General features: G+C 36.7%; 1 protein-coding gene and 1 pseudogene across 48 annotated transcripts in view; both read right to left on the minus strand.

The window, feature by feature from the left end:
• The window catches only part of BAZ2B (bromodomain adjacent to zinc finger domain 2B), a 397131-nt gene that overhangs the window by 137733 nt on the left and 235436 nt on the right, over nucleotides 1-23962 (minus strand). For 41 of the 48 annotated variants that reach the window (XM_047444047.1, XM_047444046.1, XM_047444040.1 and 38 more), the window contains one exon: nucleotides 569-757. The exons of the other annotated variants lie outside the window; for them this stretch is intronic. In XM_047444047.1, the coding sequence (XP_047300003.1) occupies nucleotides 569-757 (189 nt within the window). The remainder of the gene's footprint in view (nucleotides 1-568; nucleotides 758-23962) is intronic. 48 annotated transcript variants of the gene reach the window in all.
• CAPZA1P2 (CAPZA1 pseudogene 2) lies at nucleotides 9152-10225 on the minus strand (annotated as a pseudogene).

Here is a 23962-nt window from a genome sequence, read left to right on the forward strand (position 1 = left end):
AGCTGAGACTGCACCACTGCGCTCTAGCCTGGGCAACAGAGCAAGATTTCGTTTCAGAAAACAAAACAAAACAAACAAAAAACAGAAAAATAAAGAAATTTAAGAGTCTAGCTCATTTTCCTTACAGTGAAGAAAAGTAAGACCTTGAAATAGGAGTGTAAAAATACTCATAAAACCTGAACTTTAGTTTCACACTAAATAATTTTTTAAAAAATCAAATAAGGCTGAGAAAAATTAATTCAACTCTACATTTACACTATGTATACTTTTCTGTATATTATACTTCAACAAAAAAACATGAGAAAAACTTGCCTGAATTACTCTCTCCTGTGACAGACACCTATTTCTCTAGTTAAATACCTGGATATCTAATTAACTGCTCTGCCACCTAACACACTTAGGGTGTTTAATTTTTTGCACATGATAAATAGGATTAAGCCAATTCTTGCACCAAAGTTTTAAATATACCAGGCATTAGACTATTCCTTTTGTTCAATAGACAAATTATTGCTTGAACATTCTCAAGCTTTCCTCCTTCCCTTGAACACTGTTTGTAACAGATGTTTACCTGGAAAAGATGCTAGTTGGGGATGTGCGGCTAAGGCTGTGGGTGTACCAAGTGTCCCCAAACCACCAAATTCTGAATGCCCTGAGCTGGCTGAATGTAGACCAAAGACTGGGTGGCTGACCATTGGGAAGGCACTCGACACTGTGGACAGGTTAAACGGTTGATCCCCAGCTGTTCTGAATAAATGTCCTGGGAGGGAAAAAAACACACTTAAAGTTGTACTATAAAAAACAGATGAGACTTATCTGATTTCAGTGTTTATAGTTAAAATTTATAATAATTTACCTATTACATTTTTATTTTACCCTTTTCCTGCTGCATTTTCTACTCTTCAAACCCTATAAAATGTTTCTAGAAACATGAAGACATGCTAAAAATCATTAAAATAAATGGCATAAATTAACTTTTGAATTTGAGATTTGAGAACCAATGTTTTAAGTAGATAATTTTCACTAATTAAAATTGTCTGACCTGAGGAAGTGAGGCCAATTTTCTGTTAATATATATACATTAATATATTTTCAATATATTTTACTCATAAGAAGGGAAATAAAAAACATCCTATTAATCTAAGGTTGAAAGCCACTGAAATAAGTCCAGGATCTGTCACCAGGTCAATACTCAAATTATTATACACTCTAAGCAAGGCCATCCCAGTTTCAACATGCCAGAGTTGAAGCTCTGTTCTCTAACACAGTCATGAGTTGTTTAATGATGGGGATGCATTCTAAGAAATGCATTGTTAGGTGATTCTGTCATCATGCAAACATTGTACAGTGTACTTACACAACCTAGGTGGTACAGTCTACCACACACCTAGGCTATAGGATACAGCCTATTGCTACTAGGCTACAAACCTGTTCAGGATGTTACTGAACTGAATACTTCAGGCAGTTGTAACACAGTGGTAAATATTTGTATATCTAGACATATCTCAACCTAAGAAAGGTACAGTAAAAATATGGCATTATAATCTTAGGGGGCTACTGTCATATATGTGGTCAGGCATTGACCAAAATGTCATTATGCAGTGTATGACTATACTTCTTAGGTGAGAAGAGTATCTTGATACCAAAAAGGGAATATATTCTAGTCTAATAAAACAATGCACAAGACAACATAAGTACTTAATAAACTTACAAAGATATTTCTAAATGTGTTCACAAGTGGTTACCAATATAAAAATCATTTTTAGCTTTCTCTGAGTAAGACAATGTTCAATTCAAATGAGTCTGACATTTTAATTCTATTTTTAAAGATAAGTGTTATAACTCCAGGTTGGAATGTTATATGATAAAAACATGACTTATTTTTCATACTTTGTAGTAATTTGGCAGAAAACTTTTCTAATACTTGGAAATCTTCCCTTTACTTCCAGGAAATAATTAAGGTACCCTGTCTTGCTACTGTGAAAAGAGAATACTCTAGGTTATCTTAAGAATTTACTGTGTGAACAGTATTGTGCTCTGTGTTAATATTAGAATAAAGCTTCCTTATTATCTCTTGTTTATATTATATCAGTCCTGACTGTGCACTGCAATTTAATTAGTTTTAACATAGTATGTTTGAAATTTACAAATGTAAGTTAAAAATAGTATACTTATTATTATTTAGTTATCAACCAAATCTCTTCTCTTTGCTTTCTTGCTCCCTGAAAACCAAGGGAAAGTCCTAAAAAACGGTCAGTGTACCCTCTAAAGTCTGATATAAAACCTATATTCTTTATTAAAATAATGCTATATTCTTTACTGAAACAAGAAGATCTGAATGACTTTTAAAAATAAGATTTAAATAAATTGCATTAAGTATGTTTTGTATCAGGCTATATAAGGAAAAAGTTCTGATTCAGGATAGTGCTCCACTACAACAAAGCAGTAACTAGATCTCACAGGGAAGATCCTCAAAGTATCTTTACAAGGAAGGCCCACAAGGATACTGTGAGGTAAGAGGACAAGGAAAGGGCATAAACTTGGGTGTCTCTTCTAAATCAGCTAATCATTGTTTTTGTTGAATTGGTTCTTCTGTTTTATCAGAGTGGACTGCATTAGCACTGAAGATGAGTCAAAATAAAACAGAGTATGCTACTGCCAAAAAAGCTACCCAAATGTCATTATCTTTAAGACCAGTGATAGGTTACCAGAAATATTGTGGTTTTTTTTTTTTTTTTTTTTTTTTTGGCAAATTCTCAGAAACCCAGCTAGTTTCTCAAAAAAATGAGCTTGTAACTATAAAAACCAGTTTTTACTTTCATTTGTTATTACATATAAAATCTCTGGTTCTCACCAGTCAATTCAACTTCCTGACTCAAATGTTGTTAAATGTTTTATTTATAAACATACTATGATCAGTTCTTTTCTTTCTCCATCAATTTGTGTGGTAAGCAAGTTGAACTGAACATTGCAGTTTTGGAGAATTTGGGGTCATCTGTAATTTATGTTTTACAAATAACAATTCCTAAATTATATCAATTACATGTATGTAGTTGTGATTTAATACAAAGAAATTTGAGGGAAGTAACCTCAAAATTACAAAAGCTATATTAAATATTACAAAAATCCAGAATAATTGAAATTATCAAGGATTAGAAACTGATAGAAACACTTCTGCAATAACTAACTGTAATTACAATTAGTTGTAATAACTAATTGGTAATAATTGGTAGTAAGTAATAAATAATTGGTAGTAATAAATAATAAGTAATACATAATTGGTAGTAAGCAGCATTCTTAGATGCATAGTTACAGCATTAATTTCATTATTGGGAAGAAGCAAACAAGCTAAACTTTGTAGTCTCACAAGCAGAAAACATAAGCAGTAAATAAATGAAGTTATCACTCTTGTGGCAACAATGAAGAACCAATGATACATACTTTGACAACAAAAAGTTCTTTTTTAACTCTAAAAGGAATGACATGTGGAAGCAACTGAGTAGAAAATTTCAGCAAAATGAGCTGTATACATCACAGATTCAAATGAAAAAAATATAGATCTGTACACAAGAATGACATCTATGCCTGGCAAGAATGCAGAGATGGGAGTTCAGATCAAGGCTACTTCAACTCTACTTCCTAATTCTTTCTTCTAAAATTCTTGGTTAAAATAGTTAAAGCATGGAAAGCATCCTTAGTGACGACTGAGTCTTACAGGTCCATTCCTTGCTGGTGAGAAAAAGATTCACGTCTATATTTAGTAAAGTATACTAAGATCACTTATCATAATTGTAGTAATACCATGCACTAAAAAAATACCCACGTGAAAGACTTCCTGTTTCATGCGGGAAAGGTTATACTAGAGAAGGGAAATAATTTAAGAATACATTTCACAATTTTACTATATTTTGCCTTTATAGCAAGAATTTAGAACTCAGTGATATTTTTAAAAAAGTAATCTTTTTCATTAAAAAGTTCTGTAATGCTATATATATAATTTTAATACTGTTTTTCTTCCATCTTTTACAAAACACAGATAGTAATTCCATGTAAAAATCTTACAGAATTATTCTGTTATTTAACAGTTTCAGTAATTCAAACATTTCATGAACATACCTATTAAACATCAGGTGCTATGCTTAAGTAACTGGCCTACAAGGATGAGTAAGACAATCTCTGACCTCAAGGAACTCATGTTTTGAGCATAATTTAAACAGTGCAAGACTATTTTTATACCATAATGTATAAAACAAGTTTGTTAATATTTCAGTATTACAAATTGGTACTGTCATATACAGGACTCAGTAATACAACCCAAACACCTAAAACAGTGTCTAGTACATAACGGACATAAAATAAATGTTTTTAATGAATTAATTCACTACTCATTTAAAGCAGAAGAGGCCTATCCATGGGACTCATTCCAAAGGCTTTCAATCAGAACAAAAAGCTGTCTTGAGTCTTTAGGCAAACTTGCAGTTATGGTTCCTAGATTCCTTTGCCTTATTTCCTCAACCCCTGGTCCTAATTTGTTAACATTAACACTGGCCCTTTATTCCTCCTTGATTCCATTTAGGTCACATGTTGGATTTGATCACACAGAATCCTACCACCTCCAGGATCTTAAACTCTTAAAGTTTCACCCTTGAACCACAATTTTCACATTTCCATTCCCTTATTTCTCAGCACCACCTCCAGCCCCTCCCAGGGCCACTCCTTTACCCTGTCTGTCTCTTTCCCTCTCAATACATCAATACCTCTCCTGTGTTAACCTTAAAGGAAACGTCCTATACCTGCTATGTCTACTTCCTCCTCACTTCTCAGAATCTTTCAACATTTGTGCCAAGCCCCAAGCCTCCCTTCCACTTGGTCTGTAAAAGGAAAGTTTTCATAATTCCTAGATCCCTCTAATCTTTATTGTTTTCATTCTCAACCTCTTATATAAGTCTGGCATTCCTGACTGCCTCTTTCATATTATTATTTTTTTGACATGGAGTCTCCAGCCACCCAGGCTGGAGTGCAGTGGCACAATCTCAGCTTACTGCAACCTCTGCCTCCCGGGTTCGAATGATTCTCCTGCCTCAGCCTCCTGAGTAGCTGGGATTTCAGCTGTGTGCCACTACGTCCAGCTAATTTTTTTGTATTTTCAGTAGAGACAGGGTTTCACCACGTTGGCCAGGCTGGTCTCAAACTACTGACCTCATGATCTGCCTGCCTCAGTCTCCCAAAGTGCTGGGATTACAGGCGTGAGCCACTGTGCCTGGTCCTTTCTTTTCTATTCTTTCTTTTTTCTTTTTTTTTTGAGACGGAGTCTCGCTCTATTGCTCAGGCTGGAGGGCAGTGGTGCGATCTCGGCTCACTGCAACCTCCGCCTCCCGGGTTCACGCCATTCTCCTGCCTCAGCCTCCCAAGTAGCTGGGACTACAGGCACCCACCACCATGCCCGGCTAATTTTTTGTATTTTTAGTAGAGACGGGGTTTCACCGTGTTAGCCAGGATGGTCTTGATCTCCTAACCTCATGATCTGCCCGCCTCAGCCTCCCAAAGTGCTGGGATTACAGGTGTGAGCCACCGCGCCTGGCCTGGTCCTTTCTTTTCAAAACCCATTATCATCCTTAAGATCTAGGTCGTGGAACCCTCTTGATCCTCTTCTTAACTATACATCTTTCAATAATACTATCTCCTTTATTGGATTTTCTTTTGCTTTTTTCCCCCTAAATGTAAAAGATTCCTAAAGATTTTGTCCAGCTATCTCTTTCCTTCTCTTATGCTTTCTCCTTCAGTATTTCACATGCTTATACTGTTTAAACTATCACCTCTATGCAAATGAATTATAAGCCAGGATTTTAGATCTTTGAGGCAAAAACTGCATCTTATTTAGCTCAGGATTTCCAATAATCTGAAACACAATAAGAATTTAATAAATTGTTTCTCACTGCTGTATTTTTGGTCACATTATTTCTTCCACTTGAGAACCTCCAAAGCCTATATAACATGCTCTTTGATTTCTGCCCTTTATAATTATATTCTTTACTAACTATTTCAAGAACCTATTGCTCAAGAAGTATTCCTGAATCTCCAGACAGTTATATTTGGGGCCTCTTTTCATTGTTCATGATAGATTATTGGCAATTTGTCCTTTATCAGACCATTACTAGGGTATAAAAGTTATGAAGGAAACAGCCATTTTTACTCTTTACAAAACATTGCACAAAGCAAACTGTTATCAGTTGGCAGAGGCAACACTTCATAATACCTGCTATAGGCATCTTCAAAACAGTACTTTTCAATTCTTTGTTTCACTCTTCTTTTAAAAGGCTAGAATAACCGGAAATTATTCTTTAAATGATTAAAATATAACATGTCACTTTGCTCCAATTGCAAAAGTCACTCACAAGGTTAGTAAAAGCTCACTAGGTATTTAGAATGATGTCACTTTGTGGCTTTAATCTTTTTATACAGCAGGGATTGCTGTTTTGTTTACACCCTTGGCTCCATTGCCAGGACAATGCCTTTAGTCTTCAACTATCTTAACATTTCAAACTACTGTTCACTAGGAAAATTTTGATCATAGACTGATGATGGCTCAGTCAATCCTATAATTACATTTAAAACAAAGCATATTCAGTATTAATAAAAAAGCAGAAAGATACTTTCACAAAATGAAATACAGCTCAAGTCAAATAGGCTCTATTAACCTTATAAGTACAAAACAAAATTACCTGGATAGTAGAATGTTTCACTTTTAGAAAAGAAAATGTTTCTTACATTAATATACTTAATATCAACAGATGTATTGCTCACAAAACCTGTCTTGATGAAAACTTTTGAGTTCTGCTCAGAGAAAACATTTGCAAGCTGATGAATTATACCATAAAATAATATTTTTAGAAGACCACAATTTTTTGCAGATATTAACATTCAAACATAGTTTCAATATTATTAATGTAAATATTATTTTAGTTTCTATTTTAAGATAGGTAACTGTATACATTTTACATAATAAAAATTAATACACATCTGCAATGCCTATGTTCTCAAATTACAATGAGCTGAATATTTTTCAGCAAAGCTTTTCAAATTCTACTAGCCAAATCAAATCACTACATATAAAAGTGATTAAAATCAGTACACAAATGCTGGTGTGTGTCAGTAACAAGGCATGGTAACTACAAATGCCTTTATTAATATTAAAGAATAATTCAACAAGGTTTTCCCCCTATCAGAATGAAATTGTACTGAACTAATGCCTTGACTCTAAACTACCAGTGAACAAAATCTCCCATCACTAAGGAAAAGTCCAGAAAGCAAATAAAACAAAATAATTGTAAGAACTAAGTATGTTAAAGCACTCAATCTTTTTAAAAGTCAAGAAAATTGCTTACCATGACATAACTTCACGTTTTTCTGTGTGCTAAAAGTGTCTTTTAATCTTTCAATGCTACACAAAATTGTTATATCATGTCTTCAAATTTTGTCTCCAGTTGTTCAAAATGGTAAGCATAAATTTGCAACATTAAAAATCAGGATCTAATGTACATCTTGCAAAGTATGGCTATTCATTAAAAATGGTGGTATATTCAAATAAAGTTGTTATGAGGACTTTAATTAATATCAGTAATAACTTAGTGTAATAGCAAAAAGAACATCATCAAAATTACTGTAAATCAAAGCAATATTCAAATTACTGGCTCACATATTAAAATTCTTAAGTATATTAATGTTTAAATATTTCTGAACTCAAAATGTCCAAATTCTGTAAACTTGAACTTTGATTAAGAACAGAAAGAAGTCTACAGTTACTGGTGACAAAACATTTCTCTCCAAGTAATTCTCATTTCACTCTTGCATTCTAAAAATGCTTTGAGCCAGTTAACCTTTATATATAATTTTAGAACAAAACAGGTATATTTCTATTAGACTATCTCATACAGAAGATAGTGTGGTATGGATGGATAGTATGGATGACAAATAATACAAATATATTTTATTTGAAATAAACAAAAATGCATACACAGCTCAATGGGTACTTGGAAACAAACTGTTCCTTGACTATATTACTGAGCAAAAACAGAACTGAAGCACAAACACGTTTTTTTTTTACATGTATGTGGAGATAGGCAGGAAGACATTACTTGTTTTTTTTTTAAACTGACCTTCCCTTAAGGCCTGGTCATAGAACTGTAAGCAATGTAAATGAATCCACCATTACCAGTTGTTATATTATATCTATGTCACCTGTGTATTCTGAGATTACACACATACCTGCCAATATACCTGGGACAGGTTATTTTATCACAGTTACACTTGAGTTCTTGGCAGGCAGGACTGAGGAAGAGTAATCTGAAATAAGTTTTACATCCTATTTAGAAGAAATCGTTAGTATTTCCTTAAATAACAGGTTACAATAGAAAGATACTGCCTGGAAGTTATCCTTTTCATTTTGGTTCATTTTCAGTTTTTGTTTATGATTTACATAGCTGTTTAATTCATTTGCTTATAGTACAATCCTGCCATAAAGTATTAAAGCACAAGATACCTGTTATTCCTTCAACATCTGCATTTTTCAAGTTTTATACTCTATATCCACAGTATGTCAGCAGTTCTTGACTGTTTAAAAAAATAAATGGCTAAAACTCTTCTAAAAATGCAGATGTCTATAACTACAATGGTACTAAGATGGGAAGGAGACAATGAGAGAAGGGATGAAAGCAAACGTGTTCAAGTGCAGGGAATGTGGTTCAAGTCTTTGGATTTAAAAACAAGTTCCCCAGAGAAGCTGACACTTCCTTTGCCCTCCAAAAAGGACCTGAAAAGTCCCAATCCAAACTTTGGAAAATTACAGTTCTGCGATGCAATAAATGATGATCAAAGCAGTCAGAGGGAGAAGGATGAATGTGCCTTCCACTTAGCTATAGACTGTAGTACAGCCTCTTTAGGTGCTGGTGGATCAGTAAAAACCACTGCAGTATCAGAAGTGCTTGGAAGGATAGGGGTAGAAAGTAATGACCATATACCTTGTCTAAATCAGTAGCAGCGCTTCATGGCTAGGAAACTTTTTTAAACAGTAAAATGTCTCTAGGATAGATCTCTCTCTCCAACATTAAATGTGGCAGAATTAAAAAAAAAAGACTTACACTTGGATATAGCAATAACAGAAAATTACAAAGCAGAGAACACAAAAGAATCAGACAATGCTATAGGTTCAACAGTATTCCATGAGGTTAGAAAACTGGTTAACTTTGAAAGCTCTAGCAAAATATCACTCTTGTTTATAAATCACTTATTTATCATATGACCACATGTTGAATCCTTGTCTTTCCACATACTGAAGAATCCTACATTCAGCCTTTAGGCATTCTGCATTTCTTTGCTAATGTTGTAGCTGAGTAATCTTGTTCCAGTCAATTTTGGTGCGGGTAACCGGAAGCTGCCGGCGCAAGACCTTGAATGTGGTATCTGACATTGTTTGACAGTTTTCACTAATTGCTGTCTGATATTCATTTTCTGCATTCTCTATGATTTTAATAAACTCCTTGGCAGTTTGTGCGTCATTCGAAACAGTTAGCGAATCCTGTACATCTTTATGACTAACCAACTGAACACTGCCATCTTCGTAATAGTGAACCTGAATCTTAAGCACTCCAACCACCTGGGCTGTAGGTGGTGTGATGGTAAACTTCCACTCTGATCTCCAACGACCATTCCAGAAGTTTTTAGGCTGACACTCATGGCTTTCAATACATGCAATAATAGTCTGTTGCCCATCGATAGTTTTTAGCATAAACAGTACAGAAGCCGTTGGAATAATGGTCTTTCACATAGGCTCTTAAAGCACTGTCACAGGATTCTCTCCAAGACTTCAGACCTCCATCTACTTGTTTTGGCTGGGGGTCACTTGCTTTTTTCTATAAGTGATCAAATGTAAAGGAAATTTTGTTTCTTGGATCTAAAACTCTGCTATTACCCAGGTCCCCCATGCTCTGTAATTATGACCTGATCTTCACATCCTTCCATCTTCACGGGTGTGAACTGATCCATGTTATAATGGGCAAATGCACGTGCTGCCCTTTCCCTGAGGAGACTGTCATTATTACATAGTAGCCGAATATCACTGAATACTTCATTAAATTCTCCTGCGGGTGCATGAGTGATGAATTTAGCAGCTATGCATACCTTCTCCTTATCCAACACACAATCATTGAAGTTGGCCATCTTGGGCTGTTCTCAACATTTATATTTTGACACTTAAAAAAGACGATTCCTTAACGTGTCTATTGTTAATCGTTCTGCAATGAACATGGGAGTGCAGACATCTCTTAGACAAACTGTTTACAAGTCCTTTGGGTAAATCCCACAAACAGGATGGCTGGATTATATGGTAATTCTATTTTTAGTTTTTTGAGGAACCTCCATACTATTTTCTATAAAGGCTGTACTAATTTACATCCCCATTAACAGTGTACAAGCGTTCCCTTTTCTCCACATCCTTGCCAATACTTGTCTTTTGTCTAGTTGAGAAAAGCCAATCTGACAGGTGTGAGATGATAGCTCATTGTGATTTTAATTTGCATCTCCCTAATGATTAGTGATGTTGAGCATTTTTTCATATATCTGCTGGCCACTTATATGTTTCTTGAGAAAAGTCTATTCAGATTGGGTTTTATTATTATTATTTTTTGAGACAGAGTCTTGCCCTGTTGCCCAGGCTGGAGTGTAATGGTGCGATCTCCGCTCACTGCAACCTCCACCTCCCAGTTTCAAACAATTCTCCTGCCTCAGCCTCCTGAGTAGTTGGGATTACAGGCGCCCATCACCACACCCAGCTAATTTTTGTATTTTTTAGTAGAGATGGGGTTTCACCATGTTGGCCAGTTCGGTCTCAAACTCCTGACTTTGTGATCTGCCCACCTCAGCCTCCCAAAGTGCTGGGATTACAAGTGTGAGCCACTGCGCCCAGCCTATTTTTATTTTTAAGTAGTTATTTTGAGATTATTTTGACTCACAAGAGTTGCAAAAATAGTACACAGAGTTCCTATATACTGTCTACCCAACCTTACTTCTCCTTATGTTATCATCTTACATGACTAAAGAACAACTTTCCAAACTAAGAAATTAACCTTGATTAACTAATTAAAATAAAGAATTTATTCAGATTTAATTAGTTTTCCCACCAATGTCACTTCTCTGTCCCAAGATCCAATCCAGGATCTCATATTACATTTAGGTGTTGTGTCTCCCTAGTTTTGTACAGTCGTGTTATTTCCTCAGTCTTGTTTGTTATGACTTTAATACACTGAAGTGTACTGGTCAGAGGTATTCTGTAAAATGTCCCTCTGGTTGAGTTTGTCTGATGTGTTCTCATGATTAGAAGAGGTGATGCATTATTAGAAAAGATGGTCAATGTGCCCTTCTCAGAGCAATTTATCTAGGGCCCATAATGTTGCTATGTAGTTCTGGTGACATTAACTTCGATCACTTGGTTAAGCTGGTATCTGCCAGGACTCGCCACTGTAAAACTACCATTTTCTCTTCAAAAGGCATTTTTATTAGAAAACAAGTCACTGGGAGCCGCGGTAGCTTTGGGAAGAAAAGCTGCCATTTAATAACATCAAACATGCCGAATAAGCTTTGTTCAAGAAATGATGCACCAATACTCAGGCAAATGACTATTCTTAAAAGATAAGGACAGTTCCTCTTCTGTGATAATTTTTGTTGGATCTAATGAAAATAATTAGAGTTCATAGATTAAAATGCTAAAAATACGGAATATTTTATATACATTTCTATATTCAAATATAGCTGTACTTCTAGTAAGGAAACAGAAAAAACTAAAAGTAATATAATTCTTGTTTTACTTTACTTACCTTAACCTAAATCTTGTTCTACTTATGTTTCAATACATAAGAAAGTCTTAGTTTTCCCATAATGAACATAAATTATTACAATCAGCTTTGAAAGTATAGACTGGGTGTATTAGTTTGCTAGAGCTGCCATAACAAAGTACCACAACTGTGTGACTTAGAACAACAGAAATTTATTGTCTCATAGTTCTGGAGGTTAGAAGTCTGAAATCAAGGTGTCAACAAGGCCATGTTCCTTCTGAAGGCACTAGGAAACATGAGTTCCATGCTTGTCTCCTAGTTTCTTATAACCTTGGGTATGCTTCCTGTGTCTTCACATGTGCTTCCTGCTGTGCATGTCTCTGTGTCTACATTTCTCCTTTGATAAAAATACTGGATATGTATTGGATTAAGGCCCAACCTAATGATCTCATTTTAATTTGATTAGCTCTGTAAGGTATCTATATCTAAGTAAGGTCACATTCTGAAGTATTAAGGGGTTAGGATTTTAACCTATGTCTTTTGAGGGGGAGGATACAATTTAACCTATAGTATTTGCTTTATTTTTAAGAGAACTTAATTGACTTGAACATATTAACTTTCTCAAGTAACCTACTACTAAAATCCCAAATTAAAACTACAAAGTTCTACTAAAAAGTGAAGTAAAATAATATTCTGAAAATACTTGTGATCAAACCTTTCATTAAATAAACCCCACTGCAAAAAAGGCTAGACAGTTGAAAATTCAACAGCCTGAACAGGCGCGATGGCTCATGCCTGTAATCCCAGTATTTTGGGAGGCCGAGGTGGGCAGATCACTTGAGGTCAGGAGCTTGAGACCAACCTGGCCAACATGGTGAAACCCTGTCTCTACCAAAAATACAAAAATTATTCAGGCATGGTGGCATGTACCCAACTTCTTGGGAGGCTGAGGTGTGAGAATCACTTGAACCCAGGAGGCAGAGGTTGCAGTGAGCTGAGATTGCACCACTGCACTCCAGCCTGGACAACAGAGTGAGACCCTGTCTCAAAAAAAAAAAAAATTCAAGAGACTTTATTTAGGATGTATAGATGCCTACAACATTAACACATCAACTAAAAGAGAAAATCATGCTGTAATAGTTCAGAGTATAACATAAATACTCAAAGAAACTTTGGCTTTATCCACAAACCATCAAGAGCAGGCCTATCTCATTCCCTGATGATTCTCTACTAAGTATAAACTTAAGTCTTGGCTGTCTCTTAAGTTCTAGTTAAACCATAATTTTGACTTTCAGGTTTGTTTTTCATACATTGCCTCTTCAGTAATCTCAACTGATCTTTTAAATTCCTTATCCTGTAGCTTATGATGCCCATCCCCAACTAAAATCTGCATAGTCACTTGATTATTACCAGAGCAATGCACAGCACAGCTCAGAAAACTTATTAATCAGAGTTAATTATCATTTAAGTTTTAAGTCTTAGTCCTGTAAATTCATCTCTCCTTCCCTTCCTTTCTTCAATAATTGTTTCTTATTATTATATATTTTGTGTCAGGCACTGACTGGATACATATTGGTAAAACAGATAAAGTCCTTGCCCTTTAAATGCAGAAGAATTGACAAATAAGTAAAACAACACCAAATGTCCAATTCTAAATTGTGAATAGTGCTATGGAGGAAATTATAGCTGCAGCAATTACCTAGAGACTATAATTAGAGGTCTAATTAAGGTCTGTATTAGTCAAGATTCTTCACAAAACAGAACCAACAGGATACACTAATTTATTATATATGATTTATTATAAGGAATCGAGATTATGGAGGCTGACCCAGGAAAGCTGGTGGTATAATTCTGAGAACCGAAGGGCTGATGGTGTTAAGTCCCAGCCACGGAAGAAGACTGATGTCCTAGATCAATCAGTCAGGCAAAGAGAACTACTCCCCTCTTCCTCCATTTTTTTTCTTCTCTGCAGGTCCTCAATGGATTAGATGATGCCCACCTACACTGGGGAGGACAATGTGCTCTACTCACTCCACTGATTCAATTGCTAAACACCCTTACAGACACACCCAGAAATAGTGTTTTACCTGAGTACCCACGAGCCAGTCAAGGGGACACATCAAATTAATTATTATAATATCTCAGGATATCTAACCTGAGACAAAGCATGAGGAAGAATCAGCTTTATGAAGATTTTCCAGACAGAGGGACAGCGTATTTGAAATTCTGAGTTGGGAAAGGATGTTTTGTATCTAAGAAGTAAAAGGTCAGGGAGGCTGAAAGATAAGGGGTCAGAATGAGAACAGTGCCAGACAAATTTGAGAAGGCAGGCAGGATTAGGTCATGGAGGATGTGCAGCCTTATGTAAAAATTAAGTTGAAAGTACAAAATATCCAGCTCGATATGGCTAGGTGAAAAAGTTAATCTAATGACTCACAAAACTCAAAAGCTTTTGGAAAAGGCTCATTGTAGAGATGAAGAAGCTAGACTGAAGGTTTACCAAGACCTAATTTATCTCTCCTCTTCTGGTTCTGCCTCCCTCAGACGGGCCTTTCCCCCCCAGGTTTCTGGAGCAGGAAGCTGCGGGGGCCAGTGCAAGGGGAGGTATTTTTCCTCCCCCAGCACCAATAAAAATCCCAGAATGGAATCTCTTTGCTTTGATTAATTGACTTATGTTGTGTCCATTCCTTAACCAATCATTCTTGTCTAGGAAAGATGATATTTGGATTGGCTAGGCTGGGTCACATGCCACACATCTGTAGTGTCTTAGGAAAAAATTTTTTTAAATTAAGTGATTTATTTTGGGGTCGGAGACAACTGCTGGTAATGGTGGAGTGAGGTGGTCGTATAAATCCTCCACAGAGAATAATTACTAAAATTGGGCTTTAAAAAGCCCCCTGAAATACTGGAAAGCATCCAAAAGCAGAAGAATGGCAGAGGAGAGTTTAGTCTGGACCAATGGTTAACAAGAAGTAAAAAGTATGACTTTGTAGCTTTCTGGTCTGCTGCCTAAATCACATAGTTATAACTACAGATGATGGTCAAATAAAAAACAGCAGGCTTATCAACTAAAGGTGCAAGAGGTCAGAATTCAGAGCTAAGGCAGCATCTCAAAATGTAAAGGGGAAATCTTGGTAGTGAGCAAACCACAGCAAGTATGAGACCCAAATTCAATTTAAACTATCCAAACGCCTAGCTGCAAGTATACTGTGCATGAATGAAAAAGGACTCCAGGGTCAGCACAAACTAGCTGGCAGAGAATGAAGATAAATCTACTCTTGAAAAGCAGAGCTGTATATAGCAGATCTGCTGGGTTTGATGTATTTATTTACTAAGTGCACTCCCTCATCATGATTATCTCAGGCGGCAGGAAGTACGAAGTGTCACAGCACTGAGCCCAAAGCAGGCAGAGCAACTGAAAATTAGGGGGTAATCTTAGAAGAAAAACAACAACAACAACAACAACAAAAACAAAACCCAAAAAAGAAACAGAGGAAAGGAGACCCATCTCTGCCTAAATACTTTGCCAATCAAGAATTTTCACAGGTACAGAGGAGACCCAGAGGAGTCTAGCATGAAAAAGCAGAAGTGGGAAGCCAAAAGAATCATAGCACAAATATTATCAGTACATTTTCTAACCACAGTAAAACTAAAATGGATATCGATTTTAAAAACTAAATGTTAATGACTTCCAAACTACCCATCAGCCAAAGAAGAATTAACAAAGGAAAATAGAAAATGTTTTTACTGGAATGGTAAGAAAATGACACATAAAACTTATGTGCCGCAGCTACAGCAGTAATTACAAGGGAAATTCATAGCATTAAATACATATATAAGAAAAGGACAAAGGTGCTAGATAAACGATCTAAGCTTCCCTCTAGAAAGTAGGAAAAGGCCTTGTGCGGTGGCTAACGCCTGTAATCCCAACACTTTGGGAGGCCGAGGCGGGTGGTTCACAAGTTCAGGAGTTCAAGACCAGCATGGCCAACACAGTGAAACCCCGTCTCTACTAAAAATAAAAATATAAAAAAATTAGCTAGGTGTGGTGGTGGGTGCCTGTAATCACATCTACTTGGGAGGCTGAGGCAGGAGAATTGCTTGAACACGGGAGGCAGAGGTTGCAGTGAGCTGAGATTGAGCCATTGCACTCAGCCCAGGCGTTAGTTCAAGACTCTGTCTCAAAAAAAAAAAAAAAAAAGTAGGGAAAAAGAGAAAATCATACCCATAGAAAAACAGAAGGAAATAATTAATGAGAGAAAAAAAACAGAAAATTGAGAAAACTCAATGAAACCAAAAGCTTGTTCTTAAAAAAATCTGTAAAGTTGAAAAACCTCTAGTCACTAAAAAGAAAAGACATAAGTTATGTATATCAACGATGAAAGAAAAAATCTCTCTACCAATCATACAGACATTAAAAGAATGAGGCAATATCTGGAACAACTTTGGGCCCATACATTTAATGATGTAGACGAAATGAACGAATTCCTTGAAAGACACCAACCAAAGCTCATTCAAAGAGAAAAAGATATCCTGAATTGTTCTATGCCTACATTTTTTACTTATTTTATTTATTTATTTATTTTTGAGACCGAGTCTCGCTCTGTCACCCAGGCTGGAGTGCGGTGGTACAATCTCGGCTCAATGCAACCTCTGCCTCCCAGGTTCAAGCGATTCCCCTGCCTCAGCCTCTCAGGTAGCTGGGATTACAGGTGCCCGCCACCATGCCTGGCTAATTTTTTATATATATTTTTAGTAGAGACGCGGTTTCATCATGTTGGCGAGGCAGGTCTCGAACTCCTGACCTCAAGTGACCTGCCTGCCTCGGCCTCCCAAAGTGCTGGGATTACAGGCATGAGCCACCATGCCCGGCCTATACCTACATTTTAAAAGGTGAATTCATGATTTAGTATCTTACAACAACAACAACAACTTAAACAAACAAACAACCAAAACTCTCCAGGCCCAGATGTTTCACCAGTGAATTCTACCAAACATTTAGAGAAAAAATAATATCATTATATATTCTTTGAAAAACACAAGAGAGGCAGGAATCTTACCCACTCATTTCCAACAAATCAACTGCAAGAAAACTATAGACCAATAACCCTCATGAATACAGGTGCAAAATTCCTTAAGAAAATTTTAGCAAATCAAATTCAACAGTGCTTTATTTCTATACTTGCTTTCTGCATGACCAACACTATTCTGAAAGGATAACCCATCATAACCAAGTGGGATTAATCCTTGAAATGCAAGATTGGCTTAACTATAAAAAAATTAATCAATGTAATTTGCCAAAATAGCAAGTTAAAAGGAAAAAGCCATATAATCATTTCAAAAAGTGCAGAAAATGCATGTGACAATATTTAATACCAATTCATAATAAAAGACTCTCAGCAAAGAACGAATAGAAGGGAACTGTCTCAGTAATTGCCAGGGCAGGGATGGAGGGAGGAATTTAACTTCAAAAAGATACAAGGCAACTTCCTGGAGTAATAAAATTGTCCTACAGCCTGGAGGTTACATGAATATATACATTTGTCAAAATTCATTAAAGTATACATTTAAAATGGTGAATTATATTGTACATAAATCACACCAAAATAAAGAAACTAAAAGTAGGAGGGTTTGCATGTGCAGCTTCACTCTGTTCTGAGAGGAACAGATAAAAGCAGGGCAAGCATAGAAGTGGAGAGCCAGTTAGAAAGAACTGCAATGATATAGACGAGAGATTTTAGTGCAGACTAGGGCAGTGGTAGCAGAGACAGAAAGAAGTGTACAGACTCAAGCTTTATTTTGAAGGTAGAATCAACAGACTTTAGATGTGAGGGTGAAAGAGAAATAGATAAATCCAGAGATCACTATATTTATGGCTTAAGCTACTGGATGATTGTGGTATCATTTAATGATAGAGAATGTGAAGGAAACAGGTTTTGGGAGAAAACCAAAAGTTTGTTTTTTGGATGTGTTAAATTTGTTAAGTTTGAGATGTCTATAAAACCTCTATGTAAAATGTATATGTTCAGGAGCTCAGAGAGAAAGTCTGGGCAGAGTCTTCCTATAGGTGTATTTAAACAAAAAGACAAGAAATAACAGGCCTCAGAATCAAGGCTTGGAAAATGCAAGCCTTGATTTATGAGTACAGGAATCTGGGGGAAAAAAAAAACTTAAGAAGGAGTTGTATAAAAAAATTTAGAGAAAAACTATGAGTAGTATAATGGAAGCTAAAAGGAAAGATTTTCAAGAAGAAGAGAGTGGTCAGCTATGTCAAATTCTGCTGAGGTTGAATGAGATGAGGCTAGAAAGATGACACTGCTGTGAGTTGGGATGTGTGTGAAAGACAAGAAGAAAGCATATGTAACTATCTCCTTTCAGAAGTTGGGCTGTGAGCATTCTGGCAGAAAACAGGGCAATAGCCAGAAGAGTATTGGGATATAAAAATGGTTTGGGGGCCAGGCGCAGTGGCTCACATCTGTAATCCCAACACTTCGGGAGGCTGAAGCAAGAGGATCGCTTTAGCCCAGGAGTTTGAGACCAGTCTGGACAACAGAGTGAGTCTCTACAAAAAAAAATTTTAAAAATTAGCTGTGCTTGCCTGTAGTCCCAGCTACTAAGGAGGCTGAGGTTGGGGGATTGCCTGAGCCTCAAAGGTTGAGACTGCAGTGAGCTGTGATCACACCACTGCACTCCAGCCAGACAAAGTGAGACTCTGTCTCCCCCTGGCTCCCCCTAAAAAGAAGGTGTTTTGTATATACTGCTTTTTTTAGGATGGGTGATACTAAGAGCATGCTTTTATACTGATGAACATGATCCAGTAGATAAAGAAGAACTAATGATAAAGTACAGAAGAAATGAAGTACTGAAAAAGTCCTTTATAATCTTTAATAAAAAACCAATAGATATTTGCTATTGTCTGTGAAAGTTAAGAGCCATATCACTTTGAGTTGAGCATTTATTCTATTTGGCTTAATTTATATTCTTACATAGAACAGGATTTCAAAGGAGATTTGTAATAAATATACATAAGCTACTAGATGCACTACTGAAATAGATTTTAAAGAAATGGGCTGTTGAAATGGGAATAAAGTTCATACACATGTATCAGAAAAGTTTATTACAATACAGAGCTGGGGAGATATGGCAGAGGAGCTATAATCAGATGAGTTCAAATGGGTAGATAATTGGTTCATTCAAGATTTGTTTCAACTTCTTTTTAGTGAGCATGGAATGTTTTTCCATTTGTTTGTGTCCTCTCTTATTTCCTCGAGCAGTGGTTATAGTTCTCCTTGAAGAGGTCCTTCACATCCCTTGGAAAGTTGTATTCCTAGGTATTTTATTTTCTTTGTAACAATTGTGAATGGGAATTTACTCATGATTTGGCTGTTTGTCTATTATTGCTGTATAAAAATGCTTGTGATTTTTGCACATTGATTTTGTATCCTGAGACTTTGCTGAAGATGCTTATCAGCTTAAGGAGATTTTGGGCTGAGATGATATATACAATCATGTCATCTGCAAACAGAGACAATTTGATTTCCTCTTTTCTACTGGAAATTTTCTATTGGAAATTTTCTATTCCTCTTTCCTCTATTGGAATACCCTTTCTTTCTTTCTCTTGCCTGATGGCCCTGGCCAGAACTTCCAATACTATTTTGAATAGGAGTGGTGAGAGAGGGCATCTTTGTCTTGTGCCGGTTTTCAAAGGGAATGCTTCCAGCTTTAGCCCATTCAGTATGATATTGGCTGTGGGTCTGTAATAAATAGCTCTTATTATTTGGAGATAGGTTCCATCAATACCTAGTTTATTGAGAGGTTTTAGCATGAAGGGGTGTTGAATATTATCGCAGGCCTTTTCTGCATCTATTGAAATAATCGTGTGGATTTTGTCATTGTTTCTGTTTATGTGATGGATTACGTTTATTGATTTGTGTATGTTGAACCAGCCTTGCATCCCAGGGATGAAGCTGACTTGATCGTGGTGGATAAGCTTTTTGATGTGCTGCTGGATTCGATTTGTCAGTATTTTATTGAGGATTTTTGCATCAATGTTCATTAGGGATATTGGCCTGTAATTTTCTTTTTTTGTCGTGTCTCTGCCAGGTTTTGGTATCAGGATGATGCTGGCCTCATAAAATGAGTTAGGGAGAATTCCCTCTTTTTCTATTGTTTGGAATAGTTTCAGAAGGAATGGTACCAGCTCCTCTTTGTACCTCTGGTAGAATTCGGCTGTGAATCTGTCTGGTCCTGGGCTTCGTTTGGTTGGTAGACTATTAGTTACTGGCTCCTCTTTGTACCTCTGGTAGAATTTGGCTGTGAATCCATCTGGTCCTGGGCTTCATTTGGTTGGTAGACTACTAGTTACTGCCTCAGTTTCAGAACTTGTTATTGGTCTATTCAGGGATTCGACCTCTTCCTGGTTTTGTCTTGGGAGGGTGTATGTGTCCAGGAATTTATCCATTTCTTTTAGATTTCTAGTTTATTTGCATAGAGGTGTTTATAGTACTCTCTGATGGTAGTTTGTATTTCTGTGGGATCAGTGGTGATATCCACTTTATCATTTTTATTGCATCTATTTGATTCTTCTCTCTATTTTTTATTAGTCTGGCTAGCAGTCTATTTTGTTGATCTTTTCAAAAAACCAGCTCCTGGATTCATTGATTTTTTGAGGGGTTTTTTGTTTCTCTATCTCCTTCAGTTTTATTCTGATTTTAGTTATTTCTTGTCTTCTGAGAGCTTTTGAATTTGTTTGCTCTTGCTTCTCTAGTTCTTTTAATTGCGATGTTAGGGTGTTGATTTTAGATCTTTCCCGCTTTCTTTTGTGGGCATTTAGTGCTATAAATTTCCCTCTAAACACTGCTTTAGCTGTGTCCCAGAGATTCTGGTACATTGTGTCTTTGTTCTCATTGGTTTCAAGGAACATCTTTATTTCTGCCTTCATTTCATTATTTACCTGGTAGTCATTCAGGACCAGGTTATTCAGTTTCCATGCAGTTGTGTGGTTTTGGGTGAGTTTCTTAATCCTGAGTTCTAATTTGATTGCACTGTGGTCTGAGAGACTGTTTGTTATGATTTCTGTTCTTTTGCACTTGCTGAGGAGTGTTTTACTTCCAATTATGTGGTCAGCTTTAGAATAAGTGAGACGTGGTGCTAAGAAGACTCTATATTCTGTTGATTTGGGGTGGAGAGTTCTATAGATGTGTATTAGGTCTGCTTGGTCCACAGCTGAGTTCAAGTCCCGAATATCCTTGTTAATTTTCTGTTTTGGTGATCTAATATTGGAAGTGGGGTGTTTAAGTCATCCACTGTTACTGTGTGGGAGTCTAATTCTCTTTGCAGGTCTCTAAGAACTTTCTTTATAAATGTGGGTGCGCCTGTATTGGATGCATATATATTTAGGATAGTTAGCTCTTCTTTTTGCATTGATCCCTTTACCATTATGTAATGCCCTTTTTTGTCTCCTTTGATCTTTGTTGGTTTAAAGTCTGTTTTATCAGAGAGCAGGACTGCAACCCCTGCTTTTTTTGCTTTCCATTTTCTTGGTAAATATTCCTCCATCCTTTTATTTTGAGCCTATGTGTGTCTTTGCCCATGAGATGGGGCTCCTGAATACAGCACATCCATGGGTCTTGACTCTCTATCCAATTTGCCAGTCTGTGTCCTTTAATTGGGGCATTTAGCCCATTTACATTTAAGGTTAATATTGTTATGTGTGAATTTCATCCTGTCATTATGACGCTAGTTGGTTATTTTGTCTGTTAGTTGGTGCAGTTTCTTCATAGTATTGATGGTCTTTACAATTTGGTGTGTTTTTGCAGTGGCTGGTACTGGTTATTCTTTTCCATGTATAGTGCTTCCTTCAGGAGCTCTTGTAAGGCAGGACTGGTGGTAACAAAATCTCTTAGCATTTGCTTGTCTGTAAAAGATTTATTTCTCCTTCGCTGTTGAAGCTCAGTTTGGCGGGGTATGAAATTCTGGATTGAAAATTCTTTTCTTTAAGAATGTTGAATATTGGCCCCCACTCTCTTCTGGCTTGTAGGGTTTCTGCAGAGAGATCTACTGTTAGTCTGATGGGGTTCCCTTTGTGGGTAACCCGACCTTTCTCTCTGGCTGCCCTTAACATTTTTTCTTTCATTTCAACCTTGGTGAATCTGACGATTCTGTGTCTTGGGGTTGCTTTTCTTGAAGAGTATCTTTGTGTTCTCTGTATTTCCTGAATTTGAATGTTGGCCTGTCTTGCTAGCTTGGGGAAATTCTCCCGGGTAATATCCTGAAGAGTGTTTTCCAACTTGGTTCCGTTCTCTTTGTCACTTTCAGGTGCACCAATCAAACATAGGTTTGGTCTTTTCACATAGTCCTATATTTCTTGGAGGCTTTGTTCTGTCCTTTCATTGTTTTTTCTCTAATCTTGTCTTCATGCTTTATTTCATTATGTTGGTTCAATCTCTGATATCCTTTCGTCTGCTTCATTGATTCGGCTGTTGATACTTGTGTATGTTTCACAAAGTTCTCATGCTGTGTTTTTCAGCTCCATCAGGTCATTTATGTTCTTCTCTAATCTGGTTATTCTAGTTAGCAATTCCTCTAACCTTTTTTCAAGGTTCTTAGCTTCATCGCATTGGTTTAGAACATGCTCCTTTAGCTCGGAGGAGTTTGTTATTACCCACCCTCTGAAGCCTACTTCTGTCAATTCGTCAAACTCATTCTTCATCCAGTTTTGTTATCTTGCTGGATAGGAGATGTGATCCTTTGTAGGAGAAGAGGTGTTCCGGTTTTTGGAATTTTCAGCCCTTTTGCGCTGGTTTTTCCTCATCTTTGTGGATTTATCTACCTTTGGTCTTTGATGTTGTTGACCTTTGGATGGCGTTTCTGTGTAGACATCCTTTTTGTTGATATTGATGCTATTCCTTTCTGTTTGTTAGTTTTCCTTCTAACAGGCCTCTCTGCTACAGGTCTGCTGGAGGTCCACTCAAGACCCTGTTTTCCTAGGTATCACCAGTGGAGGGTGCAGAACAGCAAAGATTGCTGCCTGTTCCTTCCTCTGGAAGCTTTGTCCCAGAGAGGCACCTGCCAGATGCCAGCCAGAGCTCTCCTGCTTGAGGTGTCTGTCACTGCCGCTAGGAGGTGCCTCCCAGTCAGGATACACGGGGGTCAGGGACCCACTTGAGGAGGTAATCTGTCCCTTAGCAAAGCTCGAGTGCTGTGCTGGGAGATCTGCCACTCTCTTCAGAGCTGGTAGGCAGGAATGTTTAAGTCTTTTGAAGCTATGCCCACAGCCGCACATTCCCCCAGGTGCTCTGTCCCAGGGGTATGGGAGTTTTATCTGTAAGCCCCTGACTGGGGCTGCTGTAAAAGGCTTTATTTTAAACATGGACTACAACACTGTGAAAGTTAAAAAAAAATTATTTTACCTACAAAATGAAAAAAACTCATGTTTTAGGTACTAAAAATATGTGTTAATAAATGACACATTTCTGGATAAATGGAATTATACTTTCATTCAATGTAAGCATCTCAATATAAATACTCTATACTCTTTTTTACTAGTAGCAAATAATGATTAAAAAAACGCATCCCTTTCTAGACAAGGTTTCTAATGTTATTCAGCAACTCGGCATACTCCATCCCTTCTGCAGCTTCCAACCATCCACTAACAAACAAAAAATAGTGCCCAACATATGACTCATGAGAACTGCAAGCAAATTCCAATGTCACTAATTCAGAAAACCAAGTGAGAAAAAAGTGTTCAGAAAACTCAGAATCTGTACTCAAGGATGCTATTGAAGCCTTCAAATAAGAAAAGACATTTCTTTAGGAATACTATGTATGTTAAAGACTAATTCAGAAATAAATAAGACAGCAGATTAGAATACACTGAAAGCTCACAACAAGGGTAAGAGAAAGAAGAATTACAAAAACAGGAAAATATAACTACACAAGTACAATTGTGTGCAATCATTTACACAAATTTATCTAAGGTAAAAAGTCAATCATAGCATCGCTATTTTTGAGCACAGTATATCATCAGAGGCTTGGACACTTACAGTCCAGCCATCATTTTGCGTATAAGGGAAATGTGAACAAACTTGTTAATTACTTGATGAAGACTGTACACAAGGTGGAGAAGTTATATTGATTTT

This window comes from Homo sapiens, chromosome 2 (assembly GCF_000001405.40).
Source record: "Homo sapiens chromosome 2, GRCh38.p14 Primary Assembly".
NCBI classification, from domain to species: Eukaryota; Metazoa; Chordata; class Mammalia; order Primates; family Hominidae; genus Homo; species Homo sapiens.